Raw genomic sequence first — 20,396 nt, 5'->3', positions numbered from 1 at the left:
GATTAAGGTGGGGAGGGCAGGTGGGGGAAGGAATAGGAGGAGTTGAGGTGGAAATTCTCATTGGTGAGGCTGTTGGGGACACAGCAGGATTTGTTTTTTTTTTGTTTTTTTTTTTTTTGAGACTGAGTCTTGCTCTGTCACCCAGGCTGGAGTGCAGTGGCGCAATCTCAGCTCACTGCAACCTCCGCCTCCTGGGTTCAAGCAATTCTGCCTCAGCCTCCTGAGTAGCTGGGATTACAGGTGTGTGCCACTATGCCTAATTTTTATATTTTTAGTAGAGACGGGGGTTTCTCCATGTTGGCCAGGCTGGTCTCGAACTCCTTACCTCAGGTGATCCACCTGCCTTGGCCTCCCAAAGTTCTGGGATTACAGGCATGAGCCACCGCGCCTAGCTGTTGGGGGCATGGCAGGTTAATGTCAGCTCCTACAACTGTGAAATTGTTGAGGGATGAGAGAAGCAGTTTCTACAACTCACATCTAGTGACCAGGCTTTTAGATGAAATGTACTATCCCAATGATGCCACAGTCTCCTCCTGCCTTTCAGTAGAGACAGAAGTGGGTAGCAGGAGTGAGAACACTCCTGTACAAGGCAGAGGCTGCTGGCCTTTGACCTGGAGAGATGGACACTATGCCAACCTTAACTGAGTAGCCGGAGCTGTTAATGAGGCAGCAGAGTACCAGAGGTGCAGGGAGAGCCTGTCAGCCAGATTAAGTAGGATATTTAAAGCCAGCCTGCCTTGGGTAGTGTTTAAAACCTATTGGTACAGGAAGCAGGACCTTAGTGACATCCAGGGGACCACAGACTCTGAAGGAAGAAGATGATGGTGCAAGCGTTGTCTGTGACTTGTCAGGAGTGGCAACCTTTGGGCATGATGAGTGAAACCTATTCACGGTCCACCTGAACCAAAATGGCATCCAGTAGCTATGGACACTAACTCTTTAAAAGGGAAAAGAAGGCTACTTTTAGGGCCAGGTGCGGTGGCTCACGCCTGTAATCCTAGCATTTTGGGAGGCCGAGGCAGGTGGATCACGAGGTTAAGAGATCAAGACCATCCTGGTCAACACGGTAAAACCCCGCCTCTACTAAAAATACAAAAATTAGCCGGACATGGTGGCACGCGCCTGTAATCCCAGCTACTCGGGAGGCTGAGGCAGAAGAATCGCTTGAACCTGGGAGGCAGAGGTTGCAGTCAGCCGAGATTACACCACTGCACTCCAGCCTGGCGACAGAGCAAGGCTCTGTCTCAAAAATAAAATAAAAATAAATTAATAAAATAAAATAAAAGGGAAAAGGTGACTGGCTCACGCCTATAATCCCAGCATTTTGGGAGGCAGACATGGATGGATTGCTTGAGCTCCGAAGTTCCAGATCACCCTGGGCAGCATGACAAAACCCTGCCTCTAGAAAACTACAAAAAATTAGCTGGGCATGGTGGCATGCACCTGCAGTCTCAGCTGCTCAGGAAGCTGAGGTGGGAGGATCACTTGAGCCTGGGAGGTTGAGGCTGTAATAAGCTGTGATGGCACCACTGTACTCCAGCCTGGGCGACAGAGTGAGATTCCTTCTCGAAAATAAATAAAAGTTAAAAAAAAAAAAAAAAAAAAAAGGCCAGGCATGGTGGCTCATGCCTGTAATCCCAATACTTTGGGAGGCTGAGGTGGGCGGATCACTTGAGGTCAGGAGTTCAAGACCAGCCTGGCTAACATGCCAAAACCCCATCTCTACTAAAAATACAAATATTGGTCGGGCATGGTGGCACATGCCTGTAATCCCAGCTACTTGGGAAGCTGAGGCCGGAGAATCGCTTGAACCCGGGAGGCGGAGGTTGCAGCGAGCGGAGATCATGCCACTGCACTCTAGCCTGGGCGACAAGAGCAAAACTCCATCTCAAAAAAAAAAAAAAAAAGGTTGGGGGGAGAACAATTTCAAACCAAACCAAATTTGAAGCTCTGAATATAGAAAGGTATAAATAAGACTGGTGGAGAAAAAATGTATTTGATCCCCAAATTTATTCAAGATACAAAAGTTCCAGGTGACAACAACAACAAAAAACATGTCTAAAAGAATAACCAACATATGTCGGTATGGTGTGAGAAGCTAAAAATAAAATAGTAACCAACAAAAGGAAAGCAGCTCCAAAGAAAGACAATGAAGAAAAGCAAATTAATTTCCAAGAAAACCAAGGATGACAGTGTAGAAATGTCAAGACGGAGTGAGCTAGAAAACTGAGATTGTTTGGGTGACTTCTCATGATTCCAGAGGAGGCCCACGAAATAGCTGCTGTCACTCACAGGACAGCCTGGGCAATTTGAGAGGGAACAGAAACTAGACGCAAGTTCATGAAATGCCTGGGAAGATTGAATTTGAGGAGAAGGCCCCATGGATTCTAAGCGAGGTGATGGTGATGTCTGATGTTCTTTTTATTTTTATATATACATTTTTAAGACAGGGTCTCCTGGTGGTGCAATCACAGGTCACCGCAGCCTTGACCTCCCAGGCTCAAGCGATCCTCCCACCTCAGCCTCCCAAGTAGCTACAGGTGTGAGCCAGTACACCCGGCTAATTTATATATTTTTGTAGAGACAGGGTCTTGTTATGTTGCCCAGGCTGGTCTCAAACTCCTGAGCTCAAACAGTCCTCCCGCCTCCGCCTCCCAAAGTGCTGGGATTACAGACATAAACCACCGCACCCAGCCAATACTTGATGGCCTAGAGGGGTGAGATGGGGTTTGGGCTTTAGTTATGTTGACCTGGGTTGGAATCCTAACTTTGCCACTTAAGAACTGTCTGAATTTGGGCAACTCATTAATCTAAACCAACCTCAGTCTTCAGGAGCCAGGCACGGTGGCACATGCTTGCAGTACCAGCTGCTTGGCTTGGGAGGCAGGATTGCTTGAGCCCAGGAGTTCGAGTTCAGCCTGGGCAACATAGCAAGATCTTGATTCTAAAAAAATAAATAAATAGGCTGGGCGTGGTGGCTCACGCCTGTAATCCCAACATTTTGGGAGGCAGAGGCGGGTGGATCACCTGAGGTCAGGAATTCGAAACCAGCTTGGACAACATAGTGAAACCCTGTCTCTACTAAAGATACAAAAAATTAGCCGGGTGCGGTTGTGGGCGCCTGTAATCCTAGCTACTCAGGAGGCTGAGGCAGGAGAATCGCTTGAACCCAGGAAGCGGAGGTTGTAGTGAGCCAAGATTGTGCCATCGCACTCCAGCCTAGGCAACAGAGCGAGACTCCGTCTCAAAAAATAAATAAATAAAAATAAATAAACAAAACCTCAGTCTTCCCATCTGAAAAATGCAGACAAAAGACCTATTTTACCGGGGTACTTTAAAGACTAAATCAAATGCATATGGAATGCCGGCACAGGTAGCACAGATGAAAAATAAACAGGCACTACTCTGAATAAAATCTAAGTAAAGTTTGCCCACAGTATTATTTTTGATTTTTATTTTTTGTAGAGATGGGGGGGGCAGTCTCACTATGTTGCCCAGGCTGGTCTCAAATTCCTGGCCTCAAGTGATGCTCCCACCCTAATATTCCAAAGTGTTGGGATTACGGGTGTGAGCCACTGTGCCTGGCCCGTGCACATTATTAAAGACTGACTTGGAAGGCTGGATATGTGGATTTTTTTTTTTTTTTTTTTTTGAGAGAGTCCCACTCTTGCCCAGGCCAGAGTGCTGTGGTGCCTTCACAGCTCACCACAGCCTCAATCTCCATGGGCTCAGGTGATCTTCCTACCTCCCTAGTAGCTGGAACTACAGGTACACACCACCACACCCAACTAGTTTTTCTATGTTTTGTAGATACAGGGTTTCACTATGTTGCCCAGGCTGGTCTCGAACTCCTGGACTCAACTGATCCTCCTGCCTCAGCCTCCCAAAGTGCTGGGATTACAGGTGTGAGCTTCTGTGCCCAGCCATAAGTGGATTTTTAAAATTATGGATAATATACATTTACATAAGTCAAGGTCTTTAGGGAAAAATAATCCGTCTTTTAAATTAGCAAGCTATTTTTCTCATCTCAAACCCCACAGCATTCTCGGTAACACTCAACTCAGCTCCCTCTGACCTCCAGAAAACTTGGTATTCTATCATTTTCTTGCTCACATTGAGTCTCCCTGGCCAGATTTTAAACTGCTCAAGCAAACACTGTTGCCAAACCATCCATTACATTCCAGATCTTGAGTCACTGTCAACAGGTCTGTGAAAACCTGGCAGTCAGAGGTGTCAAAGTAAAGGCAGGAGCATCAGGGTGTGGAAACCTAGAGTAAACCTAATCGTTCCTTCGCCCAGAGCCGTGGTTTGGCTGCAGTTGGGATATCTATGGTTTTGGCTGGAGACTGACCCCAGGAAGCTGTGAAGCAGTAGCTCAGAGCTTCAAGTGGGTCAAAGTGTTTTCCTGAGAACAGGATGAAAATGTGGGGACTCCAGAGTCTGGCAAGCCAAAGGCAGTGCTGTAGTACAATCTAACCTGCAAAATCCTGGCAATGTGGCATAGTCAAGGGCTCGCTGCCTCAAGCCAGAACATTAAAACAAGCAGGCAACAAACAGTTTTTTAATTTTTCTTGAAATGGAGTCTCGCTCTGTCGCCCAGGCTGGAGTGCAGTGGCGCAATCTCAGCTCACTGCAAGCTCCGCCTCCCAGGTTCATGCCATTCTCCTGCCTCAGCCTCCTGAGTAGCTGGGACTACAGGCCCCCGCCACCATGCCCGGCTAATTTTTTTATTTTTATTTTTAGTAGAGATGGGGTTTCACCATGATAGCCAGGATGGTCTCGATCTCCTGACCTCGTGATCCACCTGCCTCGGCCTCCCAGTGCTGGCATTACAGGCGTGAACCACTGCGCCTGGCCAACAAACAGTCTTAACACAAATAAAATAACGACTGGGAACAATGATGTAGCCTGCCAGAAGGCAGGTAACACAACCAGGATGAAAACAATCAGGTAAGCGCAGTATGCTTGCCCAACCCATTCACTATCAAGAGAAACTGGCTGCTTGGGAGACCTTTCAAGTAAGTTAGGTGACTTAAAGCAGAACTCCTCTGTACCCCACAAATCCTTCTGTATCTGTCAGCAACAGCCAGTTAAGCATTGACAGGCTGGCGGTCCCTCTACCTCCCCTCGCATCCCCGCTTCTGTGCTTTGTCCATAACAGACAGTGGTGCTGCTGGCACAGACTGAGACACTGGGTAAGCAAACATGAAAGCAGGGGAGGCCGGGCGCGGTGGCTCACACCTGTAATCCCACCACTTTGGGAGGCCAAGGTGGGCGGATCACTTGAGGTCATCAGGAGTTCGAGACCAGCCTGGCCAATATGGTGAAACCTCGTCACTACAAAAAAAACAGTAATGAGCCGGGCGTGGTGGCACATGCCTGTAATCCCAGCTACTCAGGAGGCGGAGGCTGCAGTGAGCCAAGACTGTACCTCCAGCCTGGGCAACAAAGCAAGACCCTGTCTCCCAAAAAAAAAAAGCGGGGAAAAGATCGGGCTGCGCACCCTGAAGGAAGAGACAGGAGGGTGAAGTTCAGGAAGACAAGATGGAAACATTCTTATATCCAGATCTGGGTGGTGCCTGCACAGAGCACACATACAATACTTCACTGATAAGTATGCTTAAGACCTGTGCCATTGCCTTATATAACCTACACCTCCATGAAAACCCAAAACAAACAGGCCACAAGCTCCCTGTTTGCTATCCTTTATTAAAGGGCCCACATCCTCATGGGACTCCAGCCAAACCAGTCAGGTCCCCCAAATATAGCAGGAGGCCTGGAAGGGGAGGGGAATGACTTATGATCCTACCATGCCTCCCAAGAAACAGAAACCACCACAGACAGACAGACAGACGGACAGGGGCTGGGGAGAACTTGCCTCACTCTCAGTCCTCTCCCACTTTCCCCCACTTGAAAAGAAAGTCAAACACTGGCTACGCAGCACCCCAGCCCCCCACCCCACCCATAGCAGCGTTTGTGGGACACACCCCCTTTGCAAGGGGTGGCCCCGAGGCAGCTTCCTATCTCTCTCTTCACTTTGGTTTGCTCCTGGCAACTCCGTGCCCTCTTCCTTTCCTCAGCCTCCGGCTCGGTCTCCCCCTTGTCTTCTATCACCTACTCGGACCTTCTCTCTCATCTCCTGGGCCTCCCTGCCCCAGCACTTCTGGGGAAGCAGCGTCTCGGGCGTCTTCCCTTCTCCTAGCAAGGGGCCCCACCAGGCCCTCTGCCCAGGATGTGGGACTCACACAGCTGCCCCACTCTCCTTGAGGTCAGGGGCAGAACGCTGCCGTCTCATTCGTGGGGGAGTAGTGTATGGGGGGTAGCGGGGCCCTGGGGGCCGCTGGGCTGGGTAGGGTTGGGGTGGCTGGGGATAAGAGTTGTGCTTTTTGGGCTGGAAGTGCTGGGGTTCAGGCTGTGCAGAACCCGCTCCCCGGGATCGGCCCCCTCCATCCAGGGAGTTCCTGCGGGGATGGTGGGACCTTCGGGGACTCGGAGGCCGGCGGGCAGGGGTGGCTGGATGGGGAGTGACCTCCTCAGGGGGTTGGAGCGGAGTTGGAGCCTCCCCGCTCCCCATCCCTGGCCAAGACTCCCGGTGCTGGGGGTTGCTCTTGAAGGGGAAGCGTAGCTTGCAGTCGTGAGGGGGCACAAAGCGGGCTGGGGGCCTGCGCAGCCCCCCGCCCCGGCCCCCAGAGCCCTGCAGTCCCTGCAGCCGTAGCTGCTCCTGCTTGAGCCAGCGAAGACGACCACGACGGAAGGCAGGGTCCTCCTCCATGAGCCGTGACACCCGCTCCCAGCTTGACAGTGGTGGCGAGGGGGGCCGGGCTGACGGCATGCGGTCACTGGGGGCTGCCTCCTCTGCTGCCTCTGATCCTTCAGGCGGGGCCCAGGGGACCTCACCACCTTCTTCATTCTCATCCTCATGATCCTGGGAGGGAGGAGTGAGAAAAGGAGAAGGGATGTGAGGAGAGCTGAATCCTCAGGACATGTGGATTCAAGAGGGACCTGGAGTGGCTGGATGTCAAAGGGTCCAGAGAAAAGCCTAGAGATAAGGAAGCTCGAAAAATAGTGGTTTAGGGCCGGGCGCAGTGGCTCACGCCTGTAATCGCAGCACTTTGGGAAGCTGAGGTGGGCGGATCACAAGGTCAAGAGATCAAGACCATCCTGGCCAACATGGTGAAACCCCGTCTCTACTAAAATACAAAAAAAAAAAATTAGCCGGGTGTGGTGGTGCGCGCCTGTAGTCCCAGCTACTCAGGAGGCTGAGGCAGGAGAATGGCTTGAACCTGGGAGGCGGAAGTTGCAGTGAGCCGAGATTGTGCCACTGCACTCCAGACTGGCAACAGAGCAAGACTTCACCTCAGAAACAAAACAAAACTGCAAACTTTATATCAGTGGGTCTTAGACTTCACTGTATTTCAGAAACACCCAGAGCTTATTATAAATGCAGATTTGTCCCCAAAGATGTGGATTCAGTAGGTCTGGGGTGGAACCCGGGAATCTATTTTAATTAGCAGCCTGGTGACAGCGAGGCATGTGGTTCGTAAACAATATTGAAAAAAACGTACTATACTTCAATGCAATTTTTTCCAGACTTGGGGAAGGTTAGGCTCTGAGATGGAAGGTTCAGACTCCTAAAGTGAAGAGCCGAGGGAGGAGAGAAGGGAGGCAGAAGGCCAGTCCTACCTGGGCCAGGGGGATGACCCTCTCCATGCGGAGCATGCGGTCCCGCAGGGCCTGCAGCTCCCGGTCCTTGCTGCTGTTCTGCAGCTTCACCTCCTGCAGAATCCCCGTCAGCTTGTCGATGTGGGCCCGGAGGTCCTCCACCTCCGCCCCTCGGGCTCCCTCCTCACTGCCACCACCACTGCCAGCTCCACCTCCTTCCTCCTCGCCTACAGTGTCCCAGACATCCCGGGCCACAGCCCTCCAGGCGTCTCCGGGGCCGTCTGGCTTGCCATAGGTGCGACACAGCTCCCGCATCTTGAGGGCGGCCAGGGCCTCAATCTCAGCCCGCCCGTGGCGGAAGTCAGCCAGGGCCACCTCGTAGCAGATCTCCTTCACCGCCTGCATCTTCAGGTCAGCCATGGTGGCCCAGCGGGGGTCTTTGCCCTGCAGCCTGCGTCGCTGGGGGATCTGATAAACCCTGCGAGGGGCCCTGCGCTTGCCACTGCTGGGCAGACCACAGCGTTTGACAATGGTCTGGACCGTGGTGGGCGGCAGCTGCTCCCGCAAGGAGGAGATGAGCCTCCAGCTCTCTTCACAAGAGCGCTTGTCAGAGTCATCCCCGCTGTCCGAGTCTGCATACTGGGGCCAGAGAAAGAAAGAGGAAGAGAGGGCTAAGGACATCCAGAGCCCATGTGTCTTGGCCCAGTGTGTCCTAAGTACACTGGAAACACGCCCATCAGGGAGCCTGGGTTCAAGTCCTGCTCCACCCCAACAGCGCACCCTTGGGCAGACTGCTTAACGCTGCTCTTCTAGACAACAGAGATAGTGACGGGATCTACCTCCCAGATCCACGTGGAGTACTTAGAACCATGGCCGGCACCGAGAAAGTTACCATAAGTATTAGTTGTAGCTAATCGAGTGTGGAACTTTGTGCAAGACTTAAAAGACCATTGAGGGGTGGTGGCTCGTGCCTGCAATCCCAGCATGTTGGAAGGCCAAGGCAGGAGGATCACTTGAGCCCAGGAGCTGAAGACCAGCCTGGGTAATGTAGTGAGACCCCCACCTCTACAAAAAATAAAAAATGTAGCCAGGCATGGAAGTGCACACCTGTGATCCCAGCTACTCAGGAGGTTGAGGTGGAAGGACTGCTTGAACCCAAGGAGTTCGAGGCTGCAGTGAGCTATGATCAGGCCACTGCACTCCAGCCAGGGTGACAGAGCAAGATCCTGCCTCAAAAACAAAATAGAAAGTCCATGGCCGGGTGCGGTGGCTCATGCCTGTAATCCCAGCATTTTGGGAGGCTGAGGCAGGCGGATCACCTGAGGTCAGGAGTTCGAGACCAGCCTGGCCAACATGGTGAAACCCTGTCTCTACTAAAAATACAATAATTATTAGCCAGGCATGGTGGCGGGCTCCTGTAATCCCAGCTACTGGGGAGGCTGAGGCATGAGAATCGCTTGAACCCAGGAGGCGGAGGCTACAGTAAGTCGAGATCATCCCACTGCGTTCCAGCCTGGGTGACAGGAGACTCCATCTCCAAAAAAAAAAAAAAAAAAAAAAACCACAACAATCTTAATACCAACACAGGTGGTACTTGGATATGGTGAAAATCATAAACTTGGCACGAGAAACTGGAGTATGGGAAGGCCTGGTCAACTGGAGGAATCTTCCTTCCTTCCTCACAATGGATTCTTCCTGTAGTCACATCTCTCTCCTGGCTTTTTCCTCTTGGACCCTTCCCCTTACCCCCATGCCCATTTCCCACTCTGGCTCAGCGGTGAGCACTGCACTCGGACTCAGGCTTGCGGCTCATCTGCCCATCAGCCCATCCCCAGCCCCTGCTGCCCCTCACCAGTCGCTGCTGCTCCAGCAGAAGATCGGCTTCTTCCTTTTCTTTCCGGTACTGATTCTCCAGATCCTGCAGCCTGGGATTGGACAGGGAGGGAAGGAAGAGCAACCTTGGTGAGTATCTGACAAGAGGAGGACACGGGCCCAGAGGCCCGGGAGGGACGGCCTAGACGGCCATGGGGCACGTGGGTAACCCCCTCGCACCTCTTCTCCATTTCCAGCTTTATGTCGATGCCTTGCTGCTCCAGCAGTTCCTTCTGGGCAAAGTTCCAGTCGACTGGCTCAGAGGGCGGTCCTGGGGGTGGGGGGACCCCTCGTTCCCGTTCCAGCCTTGCCTGCTCCGGGTGGTTGAAGCGGAAAACGTGGTTCTTGCCCATCACAATCCTATTCCCTAGAGATGGGAGGAGGGAAAAGTAAACTCGCTTCCCATCAGCACCAAATCCATCCCTACACCCAAGGCATAGAGAATCTGGCACAGGGGCTGTGACACCCTCCCCTTCATCACCCCAAGTCTGAAGGCAGTTGGAGCCTATGCTCCCCTGGCTGACACCCAGGGACCAACCCCATTCTTGTCAACCAAAGGGAATTGCAAGAGCTTGGCATCCTCTTCCTGTTCCCTGGGGCGGAAAGAGAAACCAAGACCTGACTCCTTGACCTTCACTTCCCAGTTCCTTCTTTATATCCCCGTGCTATTTCTGATGTATTTCAGGGTCCTCCTCTAGGATGCACCCAGAAGGACCTCCCTTGAGACTTCCTACACACAGCCACGCCCCAGAACCCTCAATCTGCGACACATCTTCTACCTGACTTCAGCACCAGCGGCTCCGTCACAAGCTTCCCATTCACATATGTCTCAGCTCCTTCACAAGGCTCCAGAGTGACCACCACTGAATGGAGGGGCAGAGGAAGGGGAAAGATTAGACCCTGGAGGAAGGTGGGTCATGGTCACAGATTCCCACCTTGCCTTACCCCAAAAAACCACACATGCACCACCAGTCCCACCCCCAGTACCTGTAGGGGGTGCCATGGCCCCTCTGGTGGCAGGCAGCACGGGAAAGGAAGAGCAGAAGGAGGGTTAGAGCCCCAACTACAATTCCCAGAAGCCTCTGCAGTGGCTCCTGACTCACCCACCTCTATCCTCCCCAGCAGCAGCTTAGAAAACCAGTAATTGTCAAAAGGATTCATTCCTCATGTTTAACTGCTCAGAGGCCCTGTCATTTCTGCCTTCCAGATGTCCATTCCTACCTTTCCCACTGACATTATCCCTGGTGGGGCCTGGGCTCCTCCAGCAGGCTTGTAGCCCACCCCTCTGCCTCATGCATCTTGCAAACTGCCACCTGACTCATCTTCTCAAGCCACAGCTGACATGTGACAAGAGAAAGTCAACCCAACCCAAACATCCATCTAGCTGCTCCTCAGTACAAATCACTGAGCCTGCCAGTTTCTGGGGACGCGAAGATGCACGAGGCAGCTCCCTGTCCTCGAGGAGCAGTGGCCATTGCCGCAGAGGAACCCTGGTATCCCAAAGGCCCAGGCTCTGCAGCTCCTTAGCCAGGGATGCTGAACAAGTCAATTTAACTTCTGTGATATTCTATAAGATGGGATAATGAAGTCTGAATGAAGAGTGGTTAGAAGGCCCAAAAAAGTAAACCATAAAATAACATGCAAACATGTGTTTTATTATTATAATACTTATACTGGAAGTAATAGAGAAACACAGAAACTGGGATGAACTATAATATCAGGCAGGGATGGGGACAACGGATGCTGCTGGGAGAACAAGGAGAGCAGAGGACTCAGCTTAGGAGCAGAGGGAGACTCAGAAGCCGATGGGGAGAGGGGCAGCCAAGGGCATCACGGTGGGTCGGGGAAACAGCAGCAGCAGAGGTGGACAGCAGGACGGGATGCGGGTGCCTAGAGGGGGTGCCATCTATCCCCACCTTTTCTTCATTTCCCATCATGCCACAAAATTCATTTATTGATTCAAACCCACATATGCCACACTCCTACTATCTTCCAAACACTATTTTACTAGGTCTCAGAAATACATTGGTGATATAAAACAAAAAATCCCTGCTCTCATAGAGCTTACTTCTGTCTGGTAAGACAGACAATAAACAAGATAATCTAAAGTCATTTAATCGTGATGGATGGCTTTTCTTTTTTCTTTTTTTTTTTTGAGATGGAGTTTCACTCTTGTTGGAGTGAAACTCTTGTTGGAGGCTGGAGTGCAATGGTGCGATCTCAGCTCACTGCAACCTCTCCTCCTGGGTTCAAGCAATTCTCCTGCCTCAGCCTCCTGAGTAGCTGGGATTACAGGCATGCACCACCACACCTGGCTAATTTTGTATTTTTAGTAGAGACGGGGTTTCTCCATGTTGGTCAGGCTGGTCTCCAACTCCTGACCTCAGGTGATCCACCCGCCTGACCTCAGGTGATCCGCCCGCCTTGGCCTCCCAAAGTGCTGGAATCACAGGCATGAGCCACTGTGCCTGGCCAGATGCCATTTATTAAAACTAAAAGAAGAGGGGGGGAAAAAGGCATTTAATTCTATTAATATTTTTAAAAGCAGATAATCTAAAGTCCTCTCTAAAGGGAATAGGGTTGGGCACAGTGGCTCACGCCTGTAATCCCAGCACTTTGGGAGGCCGAGGCAGGTGGACTGCTTGAGCTCAGGACTTTGAGACCAGCCTGGGCAACACAGTAAAACCCTGTCTGTACGAAAAGTACAAAAATTAGCCAGGTGTGGTGGCACAGGTCTGTAGTCCCAGCTACTCAGGAGGCTGAGGTGGGGGGATCACTTTAACCCGGGAGGTTGAGGCTACAGTGAACCATGATCATGCCACTGCACTCTAGCCTGGGTGACAGGGCAAGACCCTGTCTCAAAAAATAAAAATGAAAATGAAAATAAAAAAGGAGGGAATACGTGTTATGCAGGGAAAGTGGGGCTGGGTGAGAAGACTGCTCCAGCTTGGCCCAGGCAGCCTTACCCTGAACCCATGATAATCTGACAGTCTAGGGCAGAGCTCACAGCACAGCCCCTGGTGCCTGCCATCCTGTGTCTGAATCCAGTTCTGCCATTTTGTGTCATCTTTTGCAAATCACCTAACCCCCGAGAGCCTCAGTTCTCTCACCTGTGAGCTGTGTGAGAAAATGCGGACGCACAGAGTAGATGGTCAGTAAAAACCATTCTTCTACATCCATACCTGTCTGTGCTGCCCCCGTCCTCTCTGCCTGTTTCTGGCCAGGTCTTAAATCTGCTGTTAAGAACTGAGGCCCAGGCTGGGCGCGTGGCTCACGCCTATAATCCCAGCACTTTGGGAGGCCGAGGCGGGTGGATCATGAGGTCAGGAGATTGAGACCATCCTGGCTAACACGGCGAAACCCCGTCTCTACTAAAAATACAAAAAAATGAGCCGGGTGTGGTGGTGGGGGGGCGCCTGTAGTCCCAGCTACTCAGGAGACTGAGGCAGGAGAATGGCGTGAACCCGGGAGGCAGAGCTTGCAGTGAGCCGAGATCGCGCCACTGCACTCGAGCCTGGGCGACAGAGCGAGACTCCGTCTCAAAAAAAAAAAAAAAAAAAAAAAAGAACCAAGGCCCACAGGGACTAAACCATCACAATCCCCACCCTTGGCAACACAGAATCATTGGCTGCCTTTACTGTGACCTATGTCAGTCTTGCACACGGGTGTCATCTCTCCGCACTGTAGCTCCTTGCCCATGGGCTGGCTCTGCTGAGGTGTATTTTTGGTGGCCTGTATGGCTTTCATATCTCCCCCAGCAAATGGCTTGAGGTTGCCGCAGAACAGGAACTTGGCAATAACTCACTGGGCTGAACTGATTCAACAGCTTTCAACCCAAAATGCCGGAAGCATTTGCTGTCACTGAGGACTTGAACCAGACCAGAACAACTGCCTTGATTGGCTGACCCTGAACCATATGGAAACCGAAGAGGCATGTCTTTTTTTTTTTTTTTTTGAAACAGTCTCACTCTGTCACCCAGGCTGGAGTGCAGTGGCGCAATCTCAGCTCACTGAAACCTCCACTTCCCAGGTTCAAGCAATTCTCCTGTCTCAGCCTCCTAAGTAGCTGGGATTACAAGCGTTCGCCACCATGCCCAGCTAATTTTTTTGTACTTTTAGTAGAGACGGGGTTCCACCATGTTGGCCAGGCTGGTTTCAAACTCCTGACCTCAAGTGATCCACCCACCTCGGCCTCCCAAAGTGCTAAGATTACAGGCATGAGCCACCCCACCAGCCCCAAGAGGTATGTCTTAAACCTCACTGTAAGACGCACATGATAGCGTCTTTTGTTATTTTTTAAAATGTGCTGGCCGGGTGCGGTGGCTCACGCCTGTAATCCTGGCACTTTGGGAGGCCGAGGCAGGTGGATCACAAGGTCAGGAGTTCAAGACTAGCCTGACCAACATGGTGAAACCCTGTCTCTACTAAAAATACAAAAATTAGGGCTGGGTGTGGTGGCTCAAGCCTGTAATCCCAGCACCTTGGGAGGTCAAGGCAGGAGGATCACCTGAGGTTGGGAGTTGGAGAAACCCTGTTTCTACTAAAAATACAAAATTAGCCGGGTGTGGTGGCGCACACCTGTAGTCCCAGCTACTCGGGAGGCTGAGGCAGGAGAATTACTTGAACCCGGGAGGCAGAGGTTGCAGTGAGTCGAGATCGCACCACTGCACTCCAGCCTGGACGACACAGCGAGACTCCATCTCAAAAAAAAAAAAAAAGTGCTGACCATACACACCCCAGGTCCCTTGTCCCCTGGAAGGTGTTAGGCCAAGCACTCCTAGGTCTCTGAGGCACAACACACACACCAGGTCCAAGCTGACAGACAGCACATGTGTACCACGTCCTTCCTCCCTGCCCAACTCATTTTCACAGAGACTTTGCTTGAGCTTATGTGAACCCAAATCATTCTATTTTTTTTTAAGTGTTAGAACTAAAACAAACTGGTGGCCTCAAAAATACACCTCAGCAGGTGCAGTGGCTCACGCCTGTAATCCCAGTGCTTTGGGAGGCCAAGGTGGGCGGATCACATGAGATCAGGAGTTCAAGACCAGTCTGACCAACATGGTGAAACCCCGTCTCTACTAAAAATACAAAAATTAGCCTGGTGTGGTGGCGCGTGCCTGTAATCCCAGCTACTCGGGGTTGAGGCAAGAGAATCACTTGAACCTGGGAGGTGGGGGCTGCAGTGAGCCAAGATCATGCCACTGCACTCCAGCCTGGGGGAAACAGTGAGACTCCGTCTCAAATGATAAAAAAAAAAAAAAAAAAAAAAAAAAGCTGGGGGCAGTGGCTCACGCCTGTAATCCCAGCACTTCGGAAGGCCGAGGCAGGCGGATCACCTGAGGTCAGGAGTTCGAGACCAGCCTGACCAACATGGGAGAAACCCCGTCTCTACTAAAAACACAAAATTAGCCAGGCATGGTGGCACATGCTTGTAATCCCGGCTACTCGGGAGGCTGAGGCAGGAGAATTGCTTGAACCCGGGAGGTTGAGGCTGCAGTGAGCCCAGATCGCGCCATTGCACTCCAGCCTGGGCGACAAGAGCGAACACTCCGTCTCAAAAAAAAAAGAAAAAGAAAAAGAAAAAGAAAAAGAAATCTCGGCAGTCATAGCTGGATAGAGGCAGGTTTTCCACAGGGACAAGTTCCGATATTCAAATACAGGTTTTTGTTTAAAAAGGATCAGAGTGCTAGTTGTGGTGAACAAGATCAAGAAGGGCAGGATCTTCTCTTCAGCAAAATCCCACACTCTGGCTCACTAGTGTCCCATTTCTACCTTAGAACCCTCGCCAGTGCCTGACCACACAGTAGTCTGTCTTCTCAGGGTGGGTGCAGAGGGCTGGGCCTGTGGTATTCCTCCATTCATACCCATGAGCCCCAAGCCCCTCTGAGGACAAGGCCACATCCCCTCTTTATATGGCTGCACTCCCTGGTGCCCAACCCAGACCTCTGAGTTCAGTGTGTGGGGTGGAACATGGGGCCTCTCTCCCTGTCTGGCCTCTCTCACCCCCTCAGCCATTACCTTCTCCATCTGGCTGGGGGATGCTCCGGAACAGACAGTGTTGCTCCCGAATGAACTGTCCGGTCAGCTTGATGTCCATATCTACTTGGCCGACCCTGGGGAAGCAATGGCCAACGTTTGTGAGCATGTGCCAGACTTTAACCAAGCCCCTCCTGAACACCAGTTTATCCAACTCAATGAACCAAGCCAATTATTCCCATTTCACAGATGAGGAAGCAGAGGCTCAGGGAGGTGAAATGGCTTGCCCGGGTTCATTCAGTGGGCAGTGAAGTGATGCTGGGATCTGAGCCCAGGTCTGCCTGACTCTGAAGCCATGCTCTTAGTCACCATGTTATACAGCAGGCTCGCCAACTTCTCTTGAAGCTGGGAGAGCATGCAGGGCTGTGGAGGCAGCTGTTTAGAGATCTGAGTTATCTCCAGGGACCACCAGGGAAGGGAGGCACCAATGTGGCTAACCCTCAGCAGCCATACCCCAAAAGCAGAGGCTGCCCCCCGGGCCACTGGGTACATGCTACCTGGGTACAAGCAAACCTGGGAGAAACGGGCACCCTCAGCCACAGGCCTCCACCCATCCTTAGGTTGATGATCCTGAGAGCTCACTCCCTACCCAAGATGACTACCAAGGACAGCCACGAATGCCTGTGGTGGGAGGGGAAGGGCACCCTCACCCCTTTAGGGGAGGCACCGAGCCCCCATGACTTCATAATACCAGCCCAAGGAGCCACATGCCCTTAGCTGCCCAGCCCTCAACCGCACAGACCAGGCCGTGTTTCCCTTCTCCCGCCCCCAGGGAAGGCCCCACCAAGGGAGGCCAAGGCAATGGCATCAGGGTCTAAGAATGAGGGGGTCTATGTTTCCCAACTCTCCTGCCCCAGTAAACAAGGTTGTCTCGCCCTAACCAAACTGGCAGGTGGAGGCAAGACAGCCACTGAGCAGGCACGCTTCTCTTGAAGCTGGGAGAGCGTGCAGGGCTGTGGAGGCAGCTGTTTAGAGATCTGAGGTATCTCCAGGGACCACCAGGGAAGGGAGACACCAATGTGGACAACCCTTGGCAGCCACACCCCAAAAGCAGAGGCTGCCCCCCAGGCCGCTGGGTACACGCTACCTGGTGACGCCATCTTTGATGTGGTAGAGCAGACACTCAGACATCAGAGGGTCTTCGTTCAGGTTCACCAGGTGGGGAGTCTAAGCGGGGAGAGAAAGGTGGTCAGGGGGAGCCAGCCAGGGGTGCTATAGAAAGGAAGAAAGGGAGCGGTGGGAGGAGACACCCCTCCAGTCCTGGCACTGCCAGCTGCGCCCCCTCACTCTGGAGAGCTCTCCTGCCCTCTGTACTCCTCCCATCGTCATCCCTCCACCCCGATGACGTTCTTTGGTTCCCACCTCTCACACCAACCGCCTTCAGGACAGCCTGATCCACCCTCTCCTCACACAAGGGGCCGACAAAAATTGCCCCACCCATCCAGCTGCATCCAGGTCAGCAACCCTTCCCAAGGCCTGTCTCTTCAGAAGCACCTCGACCCACCAGGCTCCCTCACCAGAAGCCCCGGACCCCCTGCATTCTCTTCTTCCCTATATTCCTCTGTCTCAGGTCCCATCATTTCTTTCCTCAAAATGTACCTTGCAGCTTCTGGAGAGTTGGGGGAGACTGAGTGAGCAGACTGGTACTCCCCACCTTTCATCAACCTTGAATTTCCTACACACATGAATTACTTTCACAATTTAAAAATAAAAAGTGTCACTTCAACTTAAAAGCAAATGGAACAAACATGTTTCTCGAAGCAGACTCATTGACTCTTCCCCAGTGACTACCCCTCCCTGGGCTGCTTCACCTCAAGCCTGGGTCCCTGCAGCACCCGCCTGGGGCTGTCCCTGCCTAAGGCCCCCAGCCAAGTCCATCCTGAACACCTGAGTGATTGTTACGCTGCTCTGTGCTGAAAACCCGGCCCATTCCCTTCTCCCACAGCACCTTCTCCTGACTTGTTTCCATTATAACAGCCCTGCCCTTGCTGGGCAGTACTCTGGATGGCGTACAGGCGACGCTGCCTCTGTACCCCCATTCATGCCACTGCTGCCACGCCTGGGGAAGTCTCCCTTCCTGCCAGCTGCTGCCGTGCCACACACCTCTCCATCCCTCGGCACCACCCTGCACCAGGCCCACCTGCCTTCCTGCCACCCCTTAGGTCTCCCAGCTTCCTGCCCACACCTCGCTATGGCCATGTCTTTGCCTCTCTGCTGAGACCTCTCCAGCTGGAACCCCAGGCCCGCTGGACTTGAGCCTACTTTTTCCCCTGGCATCCCTGGGCCTCCTCCATGTCCCGGCTCCAGTCCATCTGTCCAAGCCCCCCTCCCAGGCTCTCTCCCAGACTCTGTACTTCCACTCAGCGGACCCCTGAGCACTCCCTCCAAAGTAGGCCTCCTGCATCCCTGACTGCCAATGTCCCCAACAACAGACCGCCTCCCGCCCCGCCCCCACCTGCCAAAATCATTCACTTCCTTCACGTTCCTCCCAGTCTGTCTGAAATGCAACTTCCTCCGGGAAGTTTTCCTAAGCCTTCCATCAGAACACAAGACCCCTGCCTCTGCTGCAGAAGGACTGACTGTGGCCTTTCTACCTCACCCTGGTGAAGCGCTAGGCGGGGTACAGAGATGAGTCAAGCCCAGGCACTGCTGTCCAGTCAGTCAGGAAATGAGAGTCAGCTAGGGGAGGTGAGGCTTGGCGTGGAAACACCATTACAAGTGGGAAACGGATGCCTCATGGAGGAGTTTCTGATTGTCTCATGCCCTTGTTTAAGTTCGTTTATTCATTCATTTGTTCCCAGGGGGTTGAGTGCCACTGTGTTCTGGGAGGGACTCACATGCAAAGAGGAACAAAGTGAAGAACTATGGGATTTCAAGGGGATCAGGAGGACTTAATGGAAGGGTAACATGGGAGCCAGCCTTTGAGGACAAGGAGGGCGTGGACATGCACAAGAGCGCTCCGGGTGAAAGCAGCCTGGACAGAAGCATGGAGGCAGAAAGCACAGGGTACAGAAGGGAAACAGCACGGAGTCGAACCTCTATTTCTCTGGGAGCCACTTAACACTCAGAGCCCAAAGCTGTGTCCCCCAGAGGTGTCTGTGTATCTTGTGCATCCGCCCTTCACCCAAGTGCTCCAAGGATCACTCCTGCGACACTTCTCCTGAGGGACTCCCATGCCCCTCCCTACACTGCAGTGTCAGGCCTGCTCTGGGACTGGCAAACGCTGATGGGCTCCGGAAGCAGAAAGCAATCTATCCCTGGGGAGAGGGAACACGATTTGAGGCGGTGCTTTTCAACTTTTTCTTCAGCCCTATAACTCTTTGTTCAAAATGAAACCTTCTCTAGAAGCCTAGGACATCAAGCAGATAAGCAAGAAGCTGCTCAGGCCCAGGCTGGGGGTGAGAGCCCCAGGGTCTGGTCCTGTCCCTATCCTCAGCCCCTGAGAAGGCAGCTCAGAACCAGGTTTGAACACCACTGATTTAAGCAATCCTTAGCCCTGGTGGTGGGGGTCTTAGCAAGAGGAGGCTCCCTCCAAGACAAACTGTAGTTTTTTCCTCTAAGACCCAACTATTCCCTGTTGGAGCTACTCACACCAAACCCATTTCCCCATGAGTCTAACAGTTCTCTCTTCTGGCTTTAGACCACATGGCTTTTAAACATGAGAAGAGTTCATCCTCACCACCTTGAGAAAAATGTAAAAGTGAACTACCTTAAGACACCTTCTCACCAATCACACAGGCAAAGAGAAAAGTCTTACTAAGCCAGAATGTGGGAAAGGGCGAGGGGAAATGGGCTCTCTTGTATGTTACCCTTGGGAGTATAAATTGGTATGGTTCAAAAAATTAGCCAGGAGTGGTGGTGGGCGCCTGTAGTCCCAGCTACTTGGGAGGCTGAGGCAGGAGAATGGCGTGAACCCGGGAGGCGGAGCTTGCAGTGGGCCGAGATTGCACCACTGCACTCCAGCCTGGGCAACACAGCAAGACTCCATCTCAAAAAAGTAAAATAAATTGGTATGGTTATAATCTTCAGAGGGCACTTTGGCAATATAGATTAAAAAAAAAATTTTTTTTTTTGAGACGGAGTCTCGCTCTGTCACCTGGGCTGGAGTGCAGTGGCATGATCTCGGCTCACTGCAAGCTCCGCCTCCCGGGTTCACGCCATTCTCCTGCCTCAGCCTCCCAAGTAGCTGGGACTACAGGTGCCCGCCACCACGCCCGGCTAATTTTTTCTATTTTAGTAGAGATGGGGTTTCACCTTGTTAGCCAGGATGGTCTCGATCTCCTGACCTCGTGATCCGCCCGCCTCGGCCTCCCAAAGTGCTGGGATTACAGGCGTGAGCCACCGCACCCGGCCTAGATTAAAATTTTACATGGCTACCATTTGACCCAAAATCTCCATTTCTAGGAATCTGCTCTACAGATAACACCCATTTGTAAGACTATGCATTGTAGCCTTTTTTTGTAGTATCAAGGAATGGGAAACAATCTGAATGTCCATCAGTGGGAAGCTGGTTAAATACATTATCCTACATCTACACAATAGAATACCCTGACACCGTGAAAAAAATAAAGGAAGCTTTAAAATAAGGTATGCAGGCCAAGCACAGTAGCTCACACCTGTAATACCAGCACTTCAGGAGGCCAAGGCCAGTGCATCATTTGAGGCCAGGAGTTTGAGACCAGCCTGGCCAACATGGCGAAACCCTGTCTCTACTAAAATACAAAAATTAGCCCGGCGTGGTGGTGGGTGCCTGTAATCCCAGCTACTTGGGAGGCTGAGGCATGAGAATCACTTGAACCTGGGAGGCAGAGTTTGCACTGAGC

At 52.2% G+C, this 20,396-nt stretch overlaps 1 protein-coding gene and 1 long non-coding RNA gene across 3 annotated transcripts in view, besides 3 other annotated features; one reads left to right on the top strand and one right to left on the bottom strand.

Moving 5' to 3' along the window:
- Positions 1,992-20,396, bottom strand: part of KIF1C (kinesin family member 1C) — a 30,452-nt gene continuing 12,047 nt past the window's right edge. For both annotated transcript variants that reach the window (XM_005256424.3, NM_006612.6), the window contains 7 exons: positions 16,661-16,740; positions 15,556-15,650; positions 10,314-10,397; positions 9,715-9,901; positions 9,515-9,587; positions 7,684-8,301; positions 1,992-6,925 (listed from right to left, as the gene is read on the bottom strand). In XM_005256424.3, coding sequence (XP_005256481.1) covers positions 6,242-6,925; positions 7,684-8,301; positions 9,515-9,587; positions 9,715-9,901; positions 10,314-10,397; positions 15,556-15,650; positions 16,661-16,740 — 1,821 coding nt within the window. In that variant the 3' untranslated portion in view covers positions 1,992-6,241. The remainder of the gene's footprint in view (positions 6,926-7,683; positions 8,302-9,514; positions 9,588-9,714; positions 9,902-10,313; positions 10,398-15,555; positions 15,651-16,660; positions 16,741-20,396) is intronic.
- Positions 7,394-7,958: an enhancer, noted in NCBI's record as "H3K4me1 hESC enhancer chr17:4925730-4926294 (GRCh37/hg19 assembly coordinates)". NCBI's record gives its function as "activates a minimal SCP1, AML or CMV promoter by ChIP-STARR-seq in naive H9 embryonic stem cells {active_cell/tissue: H9 hESC(naive)}" and the evidence as "EXISTENCE:reporter gene assay evidence [ECO:0000049][PMID:30033119]".
- Positions 9,225-10,424: an enhancer, noted in NCBI's record as "CDK7 strongly-dependent group 2 enhancer chr17:4923264-4924463 (GRCh37/hg19 assembly coordinates)". NCBI's record gives its function as "activates an origin of replication core promoter dependent on BRD2, BRD4, P300/CBP, MED14 and CDK7 cofactors, with strong dependence on CDK7, by STARR-seq in HCT116 cells {active_cell/tissue: HCT116}" and the evidence as "EXISTENCE:reporter gene assay evidence [ECO:0000049][PMID:35650434]".
- KIF1C-AS1 (KIF1C antisense RNA 1) lies at positions 10,300-11,179 on the top strand. The gene is made up of 2 exons (NR_120665.2): positions 10,300-10,444; positions 10,742-11,179. It is a non-coding gene; the product is annotated as a KIF1C antisense RNA 1 (long non-coding RNA).
- Positions 18,097-18,156: a silencer, noted in NCBI's record as "silent region_8063". NCBI's record gives its function as "represses an Ori minimal core promoter by ATAC-STARR-seq in GM12878 lymphoblastoid cells {active_cell/tissue: GM12878}" and the evidence as "EXISTENCE:reporter gene assay evidence [ECO:0000049][PMID:35858748]".

This window comes from Homo sapiens, chromosome 17, assembly GCF_000001405.40.
Source record: "Homo sapiens chromosome 17, GRCh38.p14 Primary Assembly".
NCBI lineage: Eukaryota > Metazoa > Chordata > Mammalia > Primates > Hominidae > Homo > Homo sapiens.
This window is presented reverse-complemented; position numbering and strand designations above follow the sequence as displayed.